Source organism: Homo sapiens, chromosome 6 (assembly GCF_000001405.40).
Source record: "Homo sapiens chromosome 6, GRCh38.p14 Primary Assembly".
NCBI classification, from domain to species: Eukaryota; Metazoa; Chordata; class Mammalia; order Primates; family Hominidae; genus Homo; species Homo sapiens.
Window position 1 is genome coordinate 133,087,818 of NC_000006.12, and position 19,692 is coordinate 133,107,509.

The window sequence follows — 19,692 nt, forward strand, 5'->3', positions numbered from 1 at the left end:
GGTTCACAGATAAGGCTTCCATTGGAAACATCACATAATGGATTTTCTCCCCAAGTATGTTGCCTATCACTAGGCCTGTCAAAGGTGGATGCACATAGACCAAATCCAGTGGAGTGACTTTTTCCTTTGTAATTTACCTTCTGTGGAAGGTAGGTAGGATGTCCTCCAATGATGCCCACATCCTAATTCATGGAACCTATGACTATGTTATGTTACACAACAAAATGGACTTTGTGATGTAATTAAGAAGAGAGACAATCCTAATCACACAAGACCTTAAAAGCTGAGAACTTCCTCCTGCTGGGGACAGGACAGATGAGGCAGAAGGGGAGGTTAGGGAGGTTTGAAGAGTGAGAAGAACTTCTGCAGTGGCTGACTTGGAAGATGAAGGAGGTTATGAACCAGGGAATGGGGGCAGCCTCTAGAGGCTGAGAACCTGCTGACACCTACCCACAACCGCTAAGGAAATGAAGACTTTAATTCCACAACTGCATGCAACTAAACTCAGCCAACAACCTGAATAAGTCGGAAAAAGGCTTCTCCAGAGCCTCCAGATAAGAGGCCAGGCTGGCGACACCTTGATTTTGACCTTGTGAGACCTAGAGCAGAGAAACTAGCCAAGATCACTCAGACTTCTGATCTACAGAACTGTGAGACCGTAAATTTATGTTGTATTAAGCCACTAATTGCGTGGGAATTTGTTACAGGAGCAATAGAAAATGAATACACCTTCTGATGTAGTTTAATCAGTTGACATTAGGTAAGTCTTCAGTCATGTTTCTTTTCAGAAATAAATACACAAATTATCATATCCTGGGGGTTTGTGTATTAACATGTTACATTATGTCAGTAAGTGATATTTCTGATAATTTGGCACTTACATATGTGCCTGTATTTCCTAAGTGTTTTATTAAACATTCCTTATTCATTAAGTGTTGACCCTGGTTAAAATATATATAATACTTGAAAGTGCTGCTGTTTGGTGTTCTTTCTGTGCCAGACTCCTCCCGTTTGTAATATGGAGATTTATTTACAATGGCGAGAGCTGCTATGGGGCCATCCATAATAACACAGAAGTCTTGGCCGACAAACACCAGAAGGAGCTGTCTGGAAGGTTTGAATAAATAAACCTGGGTGGGAAGTATACAGTTATTGTGCATCACCAATGAATGAATCAGGTTGAGTTCCATCCTCTTCACCTAAAACTTCCTTAAGTGAGTGACAAGCGTAGTATAAATCAGAAAACCGAGCCATCAAGAAGCTTGCCTTGACCAACGACTCAAATCACATCAAGCAGAACCAGAAGAGAACTTTACACCTGTATCTTCAGCCCCACAGTAAAACCCAATGACACGATGAATGCCATTTAATCTGTGTGATTTCACCATGAAATCTAAACCATCATTTGAAAGGCTGCTGAATGTGGTACCAGTGACACACTTTGTGCCTAACTCTCTTAACTTTTTGCTCATTTGATTGCCATACAACTCTAGAAATCTGATTTTAAAACAATTACCTTAGGTTCCAGGGAATAATTACTTTAATGATCTTTTAAATATTTTCCCCCTAAGAGTTGACCTTGCTGTAAATTCTTTATTGCCTATTTATATGGTGATAGGGGATTAGGCAGGCACTGTTCTTGAGTCTTTACTGAGCTAAAGGAAAGTGGCCAATAGATGGCCTAAAAGAATCATGGGGAAATGTTTAAGGGGGAATTGAAAATTCAGTATTTTCACAAGCTACAAAAACATCCAAAGTCAATGATAAAAACAGATGTATTATGGCAAATTAGCAGTAGAGGGAAACAGAAAATGTCGTTTTCTGAATGAGGACTTAGAGTGGGAAGCTGTCCTTTAACTATTATATATATTTTAAAATAATTTTATTGATATACGAAAACTAATTTAGAAACCACATTAATAAATTAATAAAATTATTAAAATGATGGTACTCCATGAATTTTTAACAAGAATATTCCCTATGTTACACTTACAAGAAATCTTTTTTGATAACGTAAAGTCATAATTTGCAAAATATTTGGCACTCTTGTTTGCTTTCTGCTTCACTATCTTTGAGTCTGTGACAGGTAGCTGATGGTAAACCTCATAGGATTTGGAGTTATATTTGAAGACACTATCCAAGATATTTATTTGAACTTACACAAAAAGGCTATTTTCACCCTTAATATTAAAAAGCTGAGATGCATCCCAGGAGGCAAATATCACTCATGTACCTGGAAGCTTTTACTAAATGTAAGTTACTATGGCAAAGGAGTAAGAAGAGGGCACTATTCATTTACAGAATACAAAAGATATTGAATCTGAGAAATTCAAGGGGCTATGCCCATCGTATAGCTGAAGACAACAAGTAGAGAGTTTGGGTGATGGAAAATGAAAATATGTTATTATAATATGCTAACATTCCATTCCATCTCCAGTCTGCAAGCATTTCTTGAGCACTCGCTTTCTGCTACGCCCTGGGAAAATGCTAATCTATTTAGCACTTTTCCATTTACAAAGCTTTTACAAAGCCATATACTTTGGCTTATTTGACACACTCATAAACACTTGGAAGTGGAAAAGGTATTATTAATAATACCATTTAAACAAAGAGAAGACGTGTCCATGTAAATGGCAGAGATGGAAATCATAAGGACAAAGTGTGAACCAAAACCAAAAAAAAGTAGATTATTCACCACGTATAAGACCCAAAGAAGCATAGCGTGACGTGTTGAGGAATCATAAACCAATAAATGGTGAATAGACTTTGAAATAGCGATCAATCTTCTAAATTATATAACATTTAACCACAATGAATGCACAAGGCTTTTATGGGACAATCTTTAAAGCCTCCTCAATTAAATAAAACAATGCTTGAAAAAAATAAAATTGTATGATACATTTGTGAATGGCAAAGCTTAACACTTCAAAGACACAAATTCTTACCAAATTAATCCAAGAATTCAATACAATTCCAATAGACATTTCACCAGGATATTTTGAAGAATTTGACAAACTTACTCTGAAATTTAGGGGCCAAGAATCACTAAATCAGTCTTGAAAAGAAGATTCAGTCTTGAATCCCCATGTGGATTCACCATATTGGTAACAAAGGGGTGCCCCTCTCCATCTCTAATGCAGCAAGCATGAGTGGGCCAGTCCCTAGGTGCTGCACTCTGAAATGCTTTACCATGTTGGTGCATTTGTGCCTGAGAATAGGCTTGCTCCTACTCAAGCATTAAGCATGGTGGGAATAGTAGGGTAAGCCCAATACTGGAGGACATGAAAGGCTTCTAATAGGCAGCTTTGGCTCCAGGACTCTCCAACAACCTTAACAAACTCTCCTTAAAACTGCACAGCAGCCCAAGAGGGTTTTTGGCAACCTTTCTTCTTTCCTTCCATAGCCTCTCCACTCGAGGTCAGACTGGCATGATGGTCTGATGACTCCCCTAGCTCCCAGCCCTCTCTCCATCTTTGTGTCTGCTTCTTATAGGACTCAGACTTAACAATTATTTTAAAAAATAATCACTGAGGCACTAGCACAGAAACAAACAGACTCAAAAAGTAGAATGGATAGCCCAGAAATTATATCTGTTTATTGTACTTGATATATAATAAAAGATGATACCACAAATTAGTGGGGAAAAATAGATTGCTAATTGAATGTGTTGAGGGAAATTACTGTTAGTGTCTTGTAAAGGTCTTAACAAGTGGTTAAACTTTGGTATGAGGGATGAGAAGTCCATAGGAGGAAAAGTAAGATTAGGTGCCTTCCTCATATTGCATACAAAAATAAATTTCAAATTAAATAAAAAACTAAATGTGAAAGGAAAAATTGTGATTCTGTGGTGGGAAAGGCTTTTACAAAAATTGCCCCCAGAGTCTCAATCATAAGAAAATAATTGATGCATTAAAATTGAGGATTAAATACATAGGTGACAGAATTGGTAAATATAATGATAATACATGTGAAAAGAGATCAATATCAGAATGTATAAGAAACTTCTGCAAATTAAAATAAAAAAGGAAGGAAGCGAGAGAGAGAAAGGAAGGAAGGGAGGGAGGGAGAAGAAAAAAGAGACTGAGGGAGAGAAAGAATGAAAGAGAATAGGTAAAGTACATGAATTGGAATGTCACAGAAGGGGAAATTCAAACAGCTAATTAGGTAAGATTTTACAGCCATCAAATTGAATAAACTAAAAAAAAAAATAATTAAACAACACTAAGTTTTAGTAAGATTATGCAGAAACAGGAACTCTCCTGCACTGCTGGTTGAAATGTAAGCTAGCCTTCCAGAAAGCAATCTGACAGCACCTAATAAAACCACGTAAACACATACCCTACGATCAGTCAATACCCCTTTTGAGTATATTTCTCCAGCATACACAGACATGTTTGAAGATACTTACCACAGTAATGTTGGTGGAAGAAGGCAGTTGGAAGCTAGGTAAAGGTCCAAAACCTAGGGAAATAGATAAGTGGCAGATGAATTTTAGATAATAATGAATAGTACCAATGTGGCTACATTTTGAAATCATAAGCTTGAGAGAATAAAGTTAGAAGTAGAATGAGAAGTATTACACAATATCATTTATATGAATTAAGAGCACACACACACACACACACACACAATTGCTCAATAACACTGTATTGTGTGAGGATCATTACATAGCCAAAGATATATATTACAACATGAAAGAGGGTGCCCATTGGGGGCTGGAATAGCAGTGGGGATCTGGAGTAAAGCGGAAAAAAATAAAACATGAGAAAGTTGTACAGACCAATGCTGATGGATGCCATGGAAGGGCAGCCTTTTTACTTCTCTCTTCCAAAGTCAATTCATATTTCCAATCATAACACACAATTCTAGAAATTCAACAAAACCCAAATTTTAATGTTAGAGTGGCTCTGGATTAGTTTTCACTGTTGACAACAAATTATGACAAATTTAACAGCTAAAAGCAACATACATTTATTAACTGACGGTCTGCAGGAGTCTGGTCATGAGTTTAGCTGGATCTCTGCTTAAGGTGTCACCAGGCTAAAATCAAGGTATTAGCCATGCACATGATTTTTGTCTAAGCCTCATGACTCTCTTTCAAGTTCACTGAGCGTTGGCAGAATTCAGTTTCTGGTGACATACGACTGAAGTCTCCAGCTCCTGGAGACCATCTGCCATTTCCTGTCATGTGATTCCTCTGCACATCACAGAAGTTTGCTCCTTCAAGGCCAGTAGGTGCTTCTCTGGCTGCTACTTTGAGTCTCTTTTATTTTATTATTTTTATTTTTGAGACAGAGTGGCCCTGTCACTCTGCCTGGAGCACAGTGGTGCGATCCCGGCTCACTGTAACCTCCGCCTCCCAGGTTCAAGCAAGTCTCATGACTCAGCCTCCTGAGTAGCTGGGATTACAGGTATGCAGTACCACGCCCAGCTAATTTTTCTACTTTTATTAGAGATGGGGTTTTGCCACGTTGGCCAGGCTGGTCTCAAACTCCTGACCTCAGGTGATCCGCCTGCCTTGGCCTCCCAAAGTACTGGGATTACAGGCATGAGCCACCATGCCTGGCTGAGTCTGTTTTAAAGGGCTCAACTGATTAGGTCAGGCTCACCCAGCATAACCTCTCTTTTGACTGTCTCAAAGTCAACAGATTAGTGACCTTAATTCACCTAAAAAATCTCTTTACCTTTGCCACATAACATAACCTAATCACAGGAGTGATAGGTGATCCTTTTGAGATAGCAGGGCAAATACTCAGCTGTATATTTGGCAAATATTCATGGCATACCTACTATGTGCCCCATACCAACTAAACAATTGGGTATAAGGCAGATAAAATATTAATAAAATACAGTCCTTGGTCTTAAGAAACTCTCATTTTAGTGGTCAGAAAAGATGTGCACTCATTTAATTAAAACGAAAAATAAAATAAGTGGTTAGAGTTTGAATTTTTGGCACCATATTGCTTGAGTTCTGGCTCTATTTCATAGCAGCTGTATAACTTTGGATATATATTTGTTATAGGAGGAAGAATATATATATATACTCATATATATGTATATATATATATACTTGTTATGCGAGGAAGGAAGAAGGAATAAGAGAGGTAGGGAGGGAGAGAAAAAGGGAAGAAAACAGAAAAGCTTACAGAGTTTTTGTTTCCATTAATGAGTTAGATATAAAAAGCTTAGAACAGCATCTGACACAGTGAGAAATCAATAAATCTCAGCTCAGATAACAGAGGCAACTGTAAGGTCTTATGGGAGCGTAGAAGCGCAGACAATGGTAGCATTTTATAGATGAAAAAAATGAGACTCAGCAAACAATAGGCTTCTCTGCATTCACACAATTAGTGAGTAACAGAACCAGGAACGGAAATGAATTAACCCTGATCTGCAGTAGTTGAAAGCACCCTGCTTAGTAAGTAAGGGCCCAGGTATGATCAGGCTGAAGACTAGCCAAGGACTTTGAGGAGGATGGAAGCTATTTCATGTGGATGCAATGACCTCTACACTATTCCTTCACTATGTAACTTTGATTCTCTAAGTGTTGGCATGATGATTATAATAAAAATAAGGCTCATAGTTATGAAAAACTGTAAGGTCAACAATAATTTTCAAAAATATGACCTCAATTAATTCTTAAAAAAACCTATAAATGACTTTCATACGAGCCTTCTCAAATCCTTTTCCAGGGAAATCAGTGGATAACAATTTCAGCAGTTCAACAAATGTTTGTAAGTGCTCTGTTTGCCACATTATATAAATTTTGCTAAATTGTATAAAAAACTTGTTAAATCACCAGGCGCAGTGGCTCAAGCCTGTAATCCCAGTACTTTGGAAGGCCAAGGCAGAAGGATTGTTTGAGGCCAGAAGTTCAAGACCAGCCTGGTCAACATAGCGAGACACCCTCCCTACAATTTTTTTTAAAAATTAGCTGGGTGTGGTATGTGTGCATGTAGTCCCAGCTACTCAAGAGGCTGAGAAAAGAGGATCACCTGAACCCAGTAGTTTGAGGCTGCAGTGAGCTATGATTGTGCCACTGCACTCCAGTCTGGGCAACAGAGCAAGACCCTTGTGTCTAAACAACAAAACAAAAACAAAAACTTGCTAAATAAGCTGAAAAAAAAAAGCCAGAACATTTTATAATGAGCCACTACTATATACCAGATAGTGTGGATACAAAATGAATAAGACAAATTCATAGCATCTCTGGGCAGGGAAAAAATTTCAACTATTCCTCAAACTGGGGCATCTGCTGTGGAATAACAAGATTCTAGAGGGATTTCTGGCTGCTTTGAGCAGCAGAACAGCCTGCAACTGATTAACTCTCCTCACCTGTGCCTGTCATGGCCCACACTGAAATGAAAAGTTATTACTCAGTATTTTCTGGGATTAGTTTGAGAATCTGTTTATCCTGAACAGTAGATAGAAAAGAATTGCTACAAGATAGTGAAGTTTGATCAGCTTAATAAAATCAGCAGGGCAATTCAATTCTACCCACCAGGCAAACTTTCAAATTCACATTCAAATTGATAATAGTGTTGTTCAGTTAAAAGATGCTTTGATCCAAAGAATTCCCAGGGCTTTGCAAATTTAGGTGGTTGATGTTCAAGAGTGGGGTTTACAGACAGCTGTTTGAAGTAGGAGAACAGCCTGGTAGTGCCTTCTATCAAAAGCAGAGTTATACTCCAAAACGTTTCATTGTGTCATGGTGAAAATAGCGTTTGAGAATACAAAATCAGGACCTTGTGACCAAGTTTATATTCTTAAAATTAAACAATTAAAAAACTATTTGACTAAACATTAGTCAAATAAAGAGAGATCAGTGAATTCTAATAAATCTTAAATTTTATAATTAAATTGGTATAGTATGCTAATTTCTATACTATTTTGCTCACCATAAACTTTCACCCCAAATGAAATATAACTAAAGTTGTATTTTTTAAACACACATATATATTTTTTTCTTTATCTGATGTTCCATTCAAATATCTAGTTAAATGTTCTAGATATTTATTCATCACAACAACTGAGACTCTTTTGAGAATGAAAGGGGGCACTTTTAATAATTACACTGAGGGAACAGGTGTCAACTGGAGACGTCCTCGGCAAACCAGGACATATGGCCACCCTATGATTAGTGCTTTTTCAAGTTACAACAGTTGTTGACTCCTGCATTCTGGGCCATACTTCTCATCTCTCTGAATCCCACCTCCCTTCATCTTGTACTTTCTCTTTCAGTGCTTTCTACGTGAGATCTCTTTATCCTCCCCCATTTATTCAATAACTAGTTAATGAGCATGTTCCACCTGTCAGATATTATTCTAGTAGCTGGAGACACAAATATGGCCCTGGGTCTCTAGATGCTTATATTCCAGCCCGAGTTGGGAGCACGCTTTAACTAGTTATATAATTAGGTATTTTATAACAATTTCGAAGCATGCTACAAAGGTGAATCACACAGTGCCTGGGAGCATATAACCTGTCCTGTCTGGAAAGTCAGAGAAACCTCTTTCTTTACAGATGCCATCTTAATAAAATTCTAGGGACTGTGTTTATTATTCCTCATCTCTATCAATTGTTAAAACTATATTTTTTCCTGCTATCGTCGTCTTCTGCCTCCCTTCTTTTTTTATTATTTTTGTTAACATTTCTGGTCTTCAGTTTCTTTTTTTCTACTAATATTTTATAGGGGTGACACCAAGATGTGCTACACTGAACCCAACTTCTGCATGTTTAAGACAAGGTATGCAAAATTAAATGAATCTATACTCCAGTTTTGTGAATAATAATTCACAGATACACAATATAATGCAATAAAAGATGGCTGTGCTACCTGATCAGATGCCTGATTAGGTACCAGTGGACAAGTTTGCCAAGGAGGAGTCCAAAAATCTTGCCTTAGTCAATACATGATTAAGTTGCTTCCCTTCAGTACTTGCCTGTTCTTTATTTCATGCCTCTTCTTGACTCTTCCCTTAAATGTCAGCACTCCCTAAGGTTCTGTCCTTTACCTTCTTCTAATTTTTTTTCTTTGGAAAACTCTTCTACTTCCATGGCTTAAGCCACCACTTCCATACAGATGGCTCTGGAAACTTTTTCTTCTGCTCTCTAGGGAGTTCTCTACAAAGAACGATCCTGCATTTGCAGCTGTGTGCCAGACAGTGTCACAGCCCAAGCCACTGGCACTGCCCAGCTCATGCCACCATAATCTTTCATCTTGATTATTGCAAAAACCTTCTGACTGGTTTCCCTGTCTCCAGCCTTGCTCCCACCCAAATCAATTTTGCCTCTACACCACAGCAAACGTGATCTTTCTAAACTGCTTGTTATTGTGCTAACCCTCTTCTTAAAACTCTTCCCTAGCTCACTGTTGTTCCTTAATTAAAACCCAAGCTCTTAACAGAAACTGACACTATCTGCATAACCTGGCCTCTGTTTTTCCCTCTAGACTTGCCAACAACCACTTCCCACCTTATATATAGAGAGCACTTCCTGCTCTATAACCCATGTTGTCTCTTGACTCTAAGCCACCACACATGCTCTTTCTTGTTCTGAACATGCTCTTTTCCTCTCCTGACTTTCACTCATCCCTCAGGCCCCAGCTCCTTAGGAGCTTTCCTAGATTTCCAAGTCTGAGTCAGGTGCTCTTACTATGTGCTTTCTCACAGCACCCTCTACCCTTGTTATCAAGCCCCGTTTTACTCTTGCCTTTAGCTTACTCACTTTCTCCACTTGGCTGTGAAGTACAGTATGGGATGTAAATACTTCTATAGAATGGGAAGATTGAACACTCAATAGCTGTTAGTGTCTTGTGAAGGTCTTAACAAGCGGTTAAACTTTGGTATGAGGGATGAGAAGTCCACAGAAGGAAAAGCATTAGCAAAGATGTGTCTAGAGATTGGAAAATGCAAGGCAAATGTAGTTATTAAATCATACAGAGTGACATATACACTCATATAGGAAAATAATGGGAGCCTGCTGGACATTAGATTTACCTGGGGAACTCTTATTAAAACACCAATACCTGGGCTCCACCTTCAGAGATACTGACTGAATTATCCAAGAAAGAGACTCAGACAAAAGCATTTAAAAAAAGCTTTCTAGGCTAGAATTGAGAATCATGACTCTAGGAGGCAATGGAAACTTTGGAAGTTTTTGAGTATAATCTAGTATATATTAAATTTGTAATAAAAAATGTGTCAAATGAATGTTGATGTCGCACACACCAGATATCTTTGTTATTGGTTTTCAGAAATTTTTCATGTTTTATAAAAATATGTTTATTCATTAAAAAAAAGCCTCAATGACTTTATTCCCCTTTGTTACAGGTAATGTGTAACAGTCCACAAAAGCCACTTAATTATCTCATGCTTTAAATTTTATTTTTTCTTTCCTTGTGCGTAAACACAATTGTTTTAAACATGATTTGAACTGTTTTTTTTTTTCCAGAATGTGCATCTTTATTTTTCCTGAATATTTCTATTGTCTAAATACCTTAGTAAAGTTTACTGCTTCTACGGATGGCCTAAAAGTTCTGGCAATGAAAGAAGTAAAGTGTGAATGTATCCTTAATACCAGCTATTCAGATGTCTTCATCAATTATTATGTGAAGTCTTTCCAGTTCTATCCTAAACTGTAGAAACTCTTCCAGTTAAACTACAGAGCATGATAAGAGTTTCATAACATGCTGCCTCCAAGAAGTAATTTCGTTGTACCAAATTCATTTTCACTTTTAATAATCTTGATCTGATCCTGTATCACTAATAGAGGCTTTAAAAACAATTTATATATTTACTAGACACTATGAGGTTCATGATGCTCTTAGTTTTTACAAATAATAAATATGTATATACATTTTTTTACAAATAATAAATGTGTACATACAGATTTTTCCTGCTATTATCTGTACATACACATTTATTATTTATTATTTTCAAAAATGATAAATTACTTTTTACACCTTTATTGTTTGTAAAAAAATGTGTGGTAATGTCAGAATTCCTAACTGTTAACAGTTATCTCTAAGAAGGTCTAAAGTTTTTATTCTAGGACTTGAAGGGGACGTTAGCCGTATTATATACTACTTTTCTCAAACTTAGTTCTCAACTCAATATACTGTATTTGACAGGCAAACACAGGTATTATATCATGATAAAACAATAGTGGTGCAATTATTTCTTAGATTGAAAGAGGTGCAATCATTGCACTCTTGCAAGAGTAAAGGAAAAAACAGAATTGTCATTATCCAATGAATTAATAGGGTTCTAATCCCACTTAAAGAAGAATTTTGTTTTTCTGAGGAATTCCAGTATTTATGCTCCTGTGAAGCATTTTCTAATATTTGACTCTTTAGTTAGGGGCCAGGATATATTTTTTTTCTAAGTGAGAAGGAAATTGGTTATAAGCAAATTAATTTGGGGAAATAGTAAGATTTAAAACTCCCATATTTTCATCAGATACCACATTTTTCTGGAGTTCTGGCTATCCTTTGTTCTTATATTTCCAAAACATCTAGTAAATTACAAAATGCAATGGGAAACTTTAAGCCCACAGCCCAGCCCTTGATAAATAATCAAACAACAATTGAGTATTTATGCTTGCACTGCAATAGAAAGGTTAGAGTTCATTGAAAAATCCTCTTAATTTAAGAATTGTAGTTGTTCCATACAATCATAAATAAAAGAAGTAATTATAAACTTTGGGGTAAAAGGACTAAAAATGTTTTTGAGAAAAATATGGCTTTCTAATCTAATTGAAAGTAAGGGAAATTTTTTTTTGTCTTGTAATGTATGATTATATATAGTTGTGTGTGACTGGTGAATGATGTTTAAAGAGGTTGCTCAAGGTTACAGGAAAAACCCTAAGGAATTCTTGCAGCAACATCCTGAAATAAGAGCTCCTGCATAATAGATTCACTGTGGTTTCCTTAGTGAAGTGAGCCTTCTGTGAATACACAATCTTTAACTATACAAGATCAAGAGGAGAATTGAGTCATGCATTGGAATGCTTTTAGCTTTGGTTTACCCCTCTGTTTAAAGAAGAGAGTTATGAGATTTGCTTAATTTGATCATTTTCCTCTTTCCTTTGGTAATCTCCTTCCTGTATTACAAGATATATAATGCTTCCTTCACACTTCAAATGAAAGTTGAAATGATTTTTTCATTTCAACTTTGTTGTATGTTGTAGACGCAAGGTCAAAAATTTACATCAGGTATCTGAATGTGTAGCATATACAACTGAGTGTTGAAAGAAGACAAAATCGTTTTCATCACGAAGAATATGTGCTCAGTAAGAATCAGAATGTTCAATTGTGTGAAGGTGGGAGATGGGAAGATTGGTATTATGGCCTGGATCCAGAAATCAGGTATTTACCCAAAATTATCTCTATAGTTTTCACCTATCACCTATTCATTTAATATCTTTACCATAATTTTTTATTTTAATTAAGAGTCAGTAATCTTTTCGTGCTGCTAGATAAGAGCCTCGACATTTTAAAGGCAGACATTTTTCTCATATTAGGTTCTAGATATAGTGTATGACAGTGGGACTCCTAGTGGGATTTTCTTGAGTTCGTAGCACCTGTTGAAGATGCATATAATAAAAGAATAAAAGATAAAAAATCAAAGAAATGTTTGAAGAGGTATTCTGGGGGACTTGATCTATTGGTTATTAAAAATGTAATACAGGGCCACATTAACAAGGCAGAGTGGTTTAGATTCAAGAATCAAAAGGCAGATTCAAGAAATAGGAAAAAAAACTAGAAACAAGTCCTAATTATGATAAGTATTTTCTATATGACAACAGTACCACTGCAAATAACCATAAGCAAACAAATAAACAAAACTCCAATAAACCAAATAAAATCATTAAATAAAAATACAATCGAAAAATCAAATAAATTACAAAGATATATAATGAATGCTGCTGTAACAGTAGATTAAATAAACTATCTTCAAATATTATAACCAAACACATTTCAGATAAATTAAAAATTAATGTCAAAAAATAAAATGATACATAATTTATATAAATAATAATATAATTCCAGATTTCAGAAAAAGAAGTAATCACTAAAGAAGAAAAAAATCAATATAAAAAGCCCAAGCTGTGATACATTAAATCCTTTCATAAGCAAAATTAAGGGATCAGCAATAAATTCGAAAAGTATTTTCAGAAAAATGACAAAGGGTTATGTCATTAAATAGAGCTCATGCCAACCAGTAAGTTTGCCAATAGGAAAGAGGTCCAAGTGTTTCTAAATAAGAGCTCACAGATGAGGAAAATATTTGTGACTACTAAATATAATAAAACATGTTACCAACTTAAAATGAGATATCACTTTGTCTGCTGGATTAGTGAGGACAAGGGGATATACAATGGGATTTCACACATCCTCCATCCCACCCGCCAGCCCAACCCTATACTAGACGGGTTTGCTCACCCAACTTCCCTTCCGAGACCATAGTCTGAGAATAATAGAAAGAATAAAGGATAAAAAATCAAAGAAATGCTTGAAGAGGTATTCTGGGGGGCTTGCTTTACTGGTTATTAAAAATGTAATACAGAGCTACAATAACAAGCTACTCTTCAAGTACAGGGAAGAGACAGAGAACAAGTATCCTTTTATAAGAGCAGATTCATTGCTGTGTTAATGTTTTGCTGTGAGCCTGGGTCTGGAGGAGCTGTTTTTCTTGATTCCCTCCTATTTTGCAGGATTGCAATGCTACTGGAGATCCCTCTTTGACCCCAGGACTAGGATGGAGAGAAAAAAATAAAACTGAGATAGTGGGAAGGGGAGGATGACTCTCTAATGTCTGTCTGAGATAGCCTCAGTATGCACAGTTGGTCATTTAGAAGGAAAGTAAAGAGGTGTTTTGTATCATGCTGTGAGCCACATGTGTATGTCAGGTTGTCTAATCCGATGATGTTCTTTTGAGTAGTGGACTAGTAGGACATAAAGGATGGTTAAGGGGTTGGTTATATTAGCAGAACTTGTCCAAAATAGTAATGCAGGATGTAAATGAGAGAATATTGAGATAGTCACTCTAATACTGACACTGATGACAGTTCTAATTGATACAAGCTTTCTATAAAGCATTTAAAGTACCAAGAGTCTTACATTTTTAAAAATATCTTCTTTGACCCCCTAACTACATTTCTTAGTATTACTCATTGACCACACTTTTGAAAAGCACCACTTTATGACAGGCAAAGGAGATGACAGATACAGCAATTAACAAGGCAGTCCAGGTACTTGTTCTTATGGTACTTTCATTCTAGTGGGGCCAAGAGAGAATAGACAATAACCATGTACATAAACAAATAAGTAAGATATTATAGAAAGTGACATGTAGAGTGAAGAAAATAAATTGGAGTAATATGTTAAAGAGTGACCAGGGGTTGTCAGGGACACTCTCTTTGAAGAGGTGATGTATTAGTGAGCGTTCTCCAGAAAAACAACCAGTAGGATGTATATACATTTTAATAGTGTGTGTATACATATCTCTAGATAGACAGATAGATATATAGATAGATAGATAGTTACATACTTACGTGCATACATATGTGTGTGTGTAGAGAGAGAGAAACAAAGACAGAGAAAGGTTTATTTTAAGAAATTGACCCTGGTGGCAGGCGCCTGTAGTCCCAGCTACTCTGGAGGCTGAGGCAAGAGAATGGCGTGAACCCAGGAGACGGAGCTTGCAGTGAGCCGAGATTGTGCCACTGCACTCCAGCCTGGGCGACAGAGCGAGACTCTGTCTCAAAAAAAAAAAAAGAAAAGAAAAAGAAATTGACTCACATGACTGTGGGAGCAGGCAAGTCTGAAATCTGCAGGGCAGACCAGCAGGCTGGAAACCCAAGGAAGGATTGATGTTGTACTACTGCATCTGAAATCAGTCTGCAGGCAGAATTTCTTCTTCTTCGGGGACCTCAGTCTTTTCTCTTAAGGTCTTCAACTGTTGGATGAGCCTCGCTCATATTATGGAGGATGAGATGTTTTACTCAAAGTCTACTGACTTAAATGCTAATCCCACCTAATTTATCTTCACGGCAATGAAGACCAAGCAAGTTGGTTTTGCTCTTATTTGACCAGGCAAGTGAGCACTGTAGCCTACCCAAGTTGACTCATCAAATTAATTACCACAGGTGATATTTCAGCTGATAATCGAATAACAATATGTAACCAGCCACGTGTGGTCCTGGTGGAAGAGATGCAAAGGCTCTAAAGCAGAAGAGTGTGCAGTGGGAACAAAAAGACCCAGTGTGCTGGGTCCCAGTGATGTGCTGTGGCCTGTTCATATTGCCTCTAAGAGCTGATTACAAACATCTCTTTTCAATAGCATGGTCAGTGACATCACGCTGGTAGCTTGAAATCAGTAAGGATTTATACCAGAGGAGTATGTACACCAGAGTAATCAGCAAATGCTACAAACCAGGACTTTTATTACTCCCACTTTTTAACATTTACCAGCAAAGTACTGATGGGAAGAGCGCAAGGGGTAGGCATGGGCCTTAGATGGCACATCTAAAAGCTTAGCTCTCAGTCTCAGTGTGATGATTGACATTTTCAAGTCGTGTTACAAGTCAAAACCATTCGTATTGTGGTGTACTCTTGAACAGGCTTCATAGGGCGGCAGGATTTCAAGTAGGAAAGCTAATGAGAAGATTACTGAAGCAGTCTAGAGACGAGATGATGGAGACTACACTAGAGTGTGGCAGGCACCAGGAGAGATAAAAAGCTTTGAAGGGCACATTTTGAATGAGGTGCCGATAGCTCTTGGATGGAGGAAGCTGCAGTGAGAGAAATTAAGAACGACCCATGGATTATTGACCTAAGCAAATGGGCCTACCCATGTTGGGGGATCTCTTATGACATGGGAACATTTGGGAGGGACAGTTTCAACAGGGAAATGTGGCAGGGGAATCAGTTGTTGCTTTGGCCCCATTGACTTTGAGATGCCTCCTAGATTTTGAAATGCCTGAAGCCATTAAGGAAGAACTTTTATATGTGAGCTTATATTTGGAACTCAGTGGAAAGGTCAGGACTGGAGATGTAAATTTGGGAATCATCTCCATACAAAGACTAACTTTCCTAAGGAAATAATCAGAAATTCAGACAGACTAATAGGTTAAAATAAAAGAAGGACACAGAAATGTATATGCTAAATGGCTGAATAAGGAGGATATATTGACATAATTAGTCAATAAGCCATAATTCCACTTGCTGTAGCTAGTGTAATTATGAGTAATTTAAATTTTTTGTCCTTCAGATATTCACAACAAATAAGTTCTTCTTAAAATTAGAAGAAAACAATCTTGTTTTAAAAGAAATATAAAAACATTAGATTTGTTAATGATAACATTAAAATATCTAAGTAGCTAAAAATTTTATTTAGCCACTGGTTAAACTGTTTCTTTGACTTAAAGAGCTTATAGTTATGTAAGCACACTATTTTTTACTTGTCTTTCCCATTATTAAAATAATACATGTATGTTACAGATACATTTGAAAAGATAAAAGAATAGAGAAATAATTTTTACATATTATTTAATATTTAGTTTTCTTGATCCAATTTTATCTACTTTTTTGTGATATGCTCCTATCATTTTACATCTGATTTATATCTTATATCTATCTTTTTGTGTCTTATATCTTATAAAAGCTATGTTATTAATCCCTTAACAGTGCATTTTTATCAGAGGTTAAAAAGGTTCACTACTTCACATGGTTTTACGTCTTGTGATAGTGATCTATAATATTTAGCCTCTATGATACTGCTGCAGTATAGTGTTTCACTGGAATTTTTCATTTTCACTTCAATGCCATAAAACTGCAACCTCAAATTTATTGCAATATTTACATATATGACAGCTGTTAAAACTACAGTAGTTGAAATACACTTAGGGAATAGTTACTGGGGCAAATGTGTGTATACACACACACACTTTCATGTAAGTTATTTATTGTAATGTTGAACTTTTATTCCCTCGTGGTGAATAAAAGGACATAAATGTTGATATTTATGTTATAAAGTTACCTGCTTCCCTTACTTCATTCATGAATTTCTTTATTCATATCAATACTTACTGAAAAGTTTATAAAGAACCTACTATGTGCCAAGCAGTGAGCAAAACACAGCATAGTTGGGGAGACGGACACATAAGTGGAAAAACAGTATTGCCATATGGCGAGAACTGTTGAAAGGGTATAATCAACATAGTTTGGAATCACACAGGGGAATGGGAGACGGTGACCCTTGAGCTGGGTGTTAGAGGATGAATGAGCATTTACCAGGCAGAAGAAATAGCATTTGCACCTGCATGGAGCCATGAAAGGAGAAAGAATGATTGAGGCAGGAAATAAAGTGCAAAAAGGAGGTTTGGACCAGCTTGTGATGGGTCTTGTATGCCAAGCTAAGGAATTTGGATTACATATTGCAGGTCATGGAAGTCAACAGAGATTGCTTTGCATTGGAGACTGTCAGAATCAGTTTGGGCTGGAAAGAACATTCTGCAACAATGTGAGGAAAGATTAGATTGGAAAGAAAACTGGTAATAGGAGCACTAGGGATAGGCTGAGTTCAGTGCAAAAGAAAAGGAGGACTGAAAGCTTTGGCAGTCTCTGAGGATGGGAAGAAAGAAGACAATTTGATTGGCAAGAATGACAATATTTAATGAAACGATGAAAGCAAGAGCAGGATGAAGAAGAAAGAAGATAGGGAATATAATTTTTAAAAGAAGGTTGGGTGTGAAAATTAGATGGCCTGGAAAGTAACTTGAAGAAAGGTTAGAATCAAACAACTTTTTAAAGGGTAAGTACAATTTGAGGTTGGTCTAAATTGAGACCAATGTGTTAGAAATAATGTTTTAATATTTCCTGGGTTGAGATAGGAGATAAAAAGGGGCTGATAAGAGGTCTACTTTCATCTAGACTACATAGGTGCTCAGAAAGAAAGAGAAATGAGAATTTACTTAGTTTTTTATTTTTAATTGTTTGGGCACATAGCAGTTGTATATGTTTATGGGATACATGAGATGTTTTGACACAGGCATGAAATGTGAAATAAGCAAATCTTGGAGATGGGGTATTCATCTCCTCAAGCATTTATCCTTTGAGTTACAAACATTCCAGGTACACTCTTTAAGTTATTTAAAAATGTACAATAAAGTTATTGTTGACTATAATCATCCTGTTGTGTTATCAACTAGTAGGTCTTATTCATTCTTTCCAAGTTTTTTTGGTACCCATTAACCATTCCCACCTCTCCCCTAGTCTTCCACTATAGGAAATGGGAATTTAAAGATGATCAGAAGACAGTTGGGAGCAGAGTGAGAATAAGAACCCTCAACTGCTGTCTCACCTTTCAGATCACGAAGAAGTTTTTTACAATGAGCAGAACACTCAACCTGAAAGCAGAATGGATTGAGTCACTGCAGCGTGGCAGTGGAATGGTGTTTGATGTTGGCAAAGGAAACATGTACTTCTAGACTGGACAGTTTTCCCTTAGTTTACAGTTTCCAAATAGAGACATCACTTTGAAATAACATGGAGAACATACATGGATGTACTGAACGAAGAATAAAGTCTGTGTTGCAGTCCTGTCTCCATTGACTTTTACAAATATGGCTTTGGATGAATCACCTAAGTTTTATTTTTGAGAATTTACGCTTACCATGTATAAAATGATATTGCTAATATGTTTGCTGCCTACCCCATTGGGTTTTGTGAGGAATAAATGATAATGCTAAGAAAAAGGCATTGAGAATTATAACTCATTATTCAAATGCAAGTTATTTATGTGGTTATTGTCATTATTATTAATACTTTCACTCAGCTAAAACCTTAGAACCAAAAACATCTGAGAACTTGCTTACTATTAATAACTGTCTTATTTGATTCAGGGACTCAAGAAAGTATCAGCTCACATGACTGAGTTTCATCAATTCCAAGTTGTACATTGAGAATCACGATAAAGATCGGGAATATGAGACTTTAAGCATAATTCTTTTTCATCACCATCTGGCTATTTCTACTTCTCCAGTCCTAACTTCTAACCTGATCTTAGTCACCAGGGCTAAATTGCAAAGTAGAAAATTTCAAGGAAGGTTTCTTTGGGTTCCATACTCTGCTTTTATGCCTTCTACATAAAGAAAGGGAAACAGAAAAAAAAAAAAAAAAAAAAAAAAAAGAGTGGACCTCACATTCATACACAACTTCCTCCCAACAATTTCCTTAGTAGAGCCTGGGAGGTCCTAACTGAACCAACCCTGCTCCCTCCACTGGCTCTGCGCCACCTGATTACCTCCATGCCATGCTCCCTTGTATCTCAATACTGCTCATAGGTCACCTCATCAGAGACACCTTCCCTGATTACAGCATACGAAATTAGAAAACAAACCTGATCTCATTCCATTGTCCTTGCTCTGCTTCACAACTCTCAATCACCAGCAGATGTAGAATATACTTATTTGTTTCTTATCTGTCCCCTCTCCTATCCATGTGAGCACCACAAGAATCAGACTTGGTTTTCCATTGTAACCCCTGAGCCTGCCACATGGAAAGTATTCAATAAATCATTGTTGAACAAAGGAATGAATGATTCTGTGAAGGGATATATTAATTTAAAATGTCCTGGTCCTTAGAAGGATTTTCAAAACTTGAAAATATGAAGTGGTGTGAGGACTGTT

General features: G+C 36.7%; 1 long non-coding RNA gene across 1 annotated transcript; it reads left to right on the forward strand.

Annotated features, from left to right (window-relative positions):
• Positions 1–262: 262 nt before the first annotated feature.
• LINC00326 (long intergenic non-protein coding RNA 326) lies at positions 263–18,761 on the forward strand. The gene is made up of 4 exons (NR_026969.1): positions 263–760; positions 8,693–8,746; positions 12,190–12,367; positions 18,278–18,761. It is a non-coding gene; the product is annotated as a long intergenic non-protein coding RNA 326 (long non-coding RNA).
• The last annotated feature ends 931 nt before the right edge of the window (positions 18,762–19,692 follow it).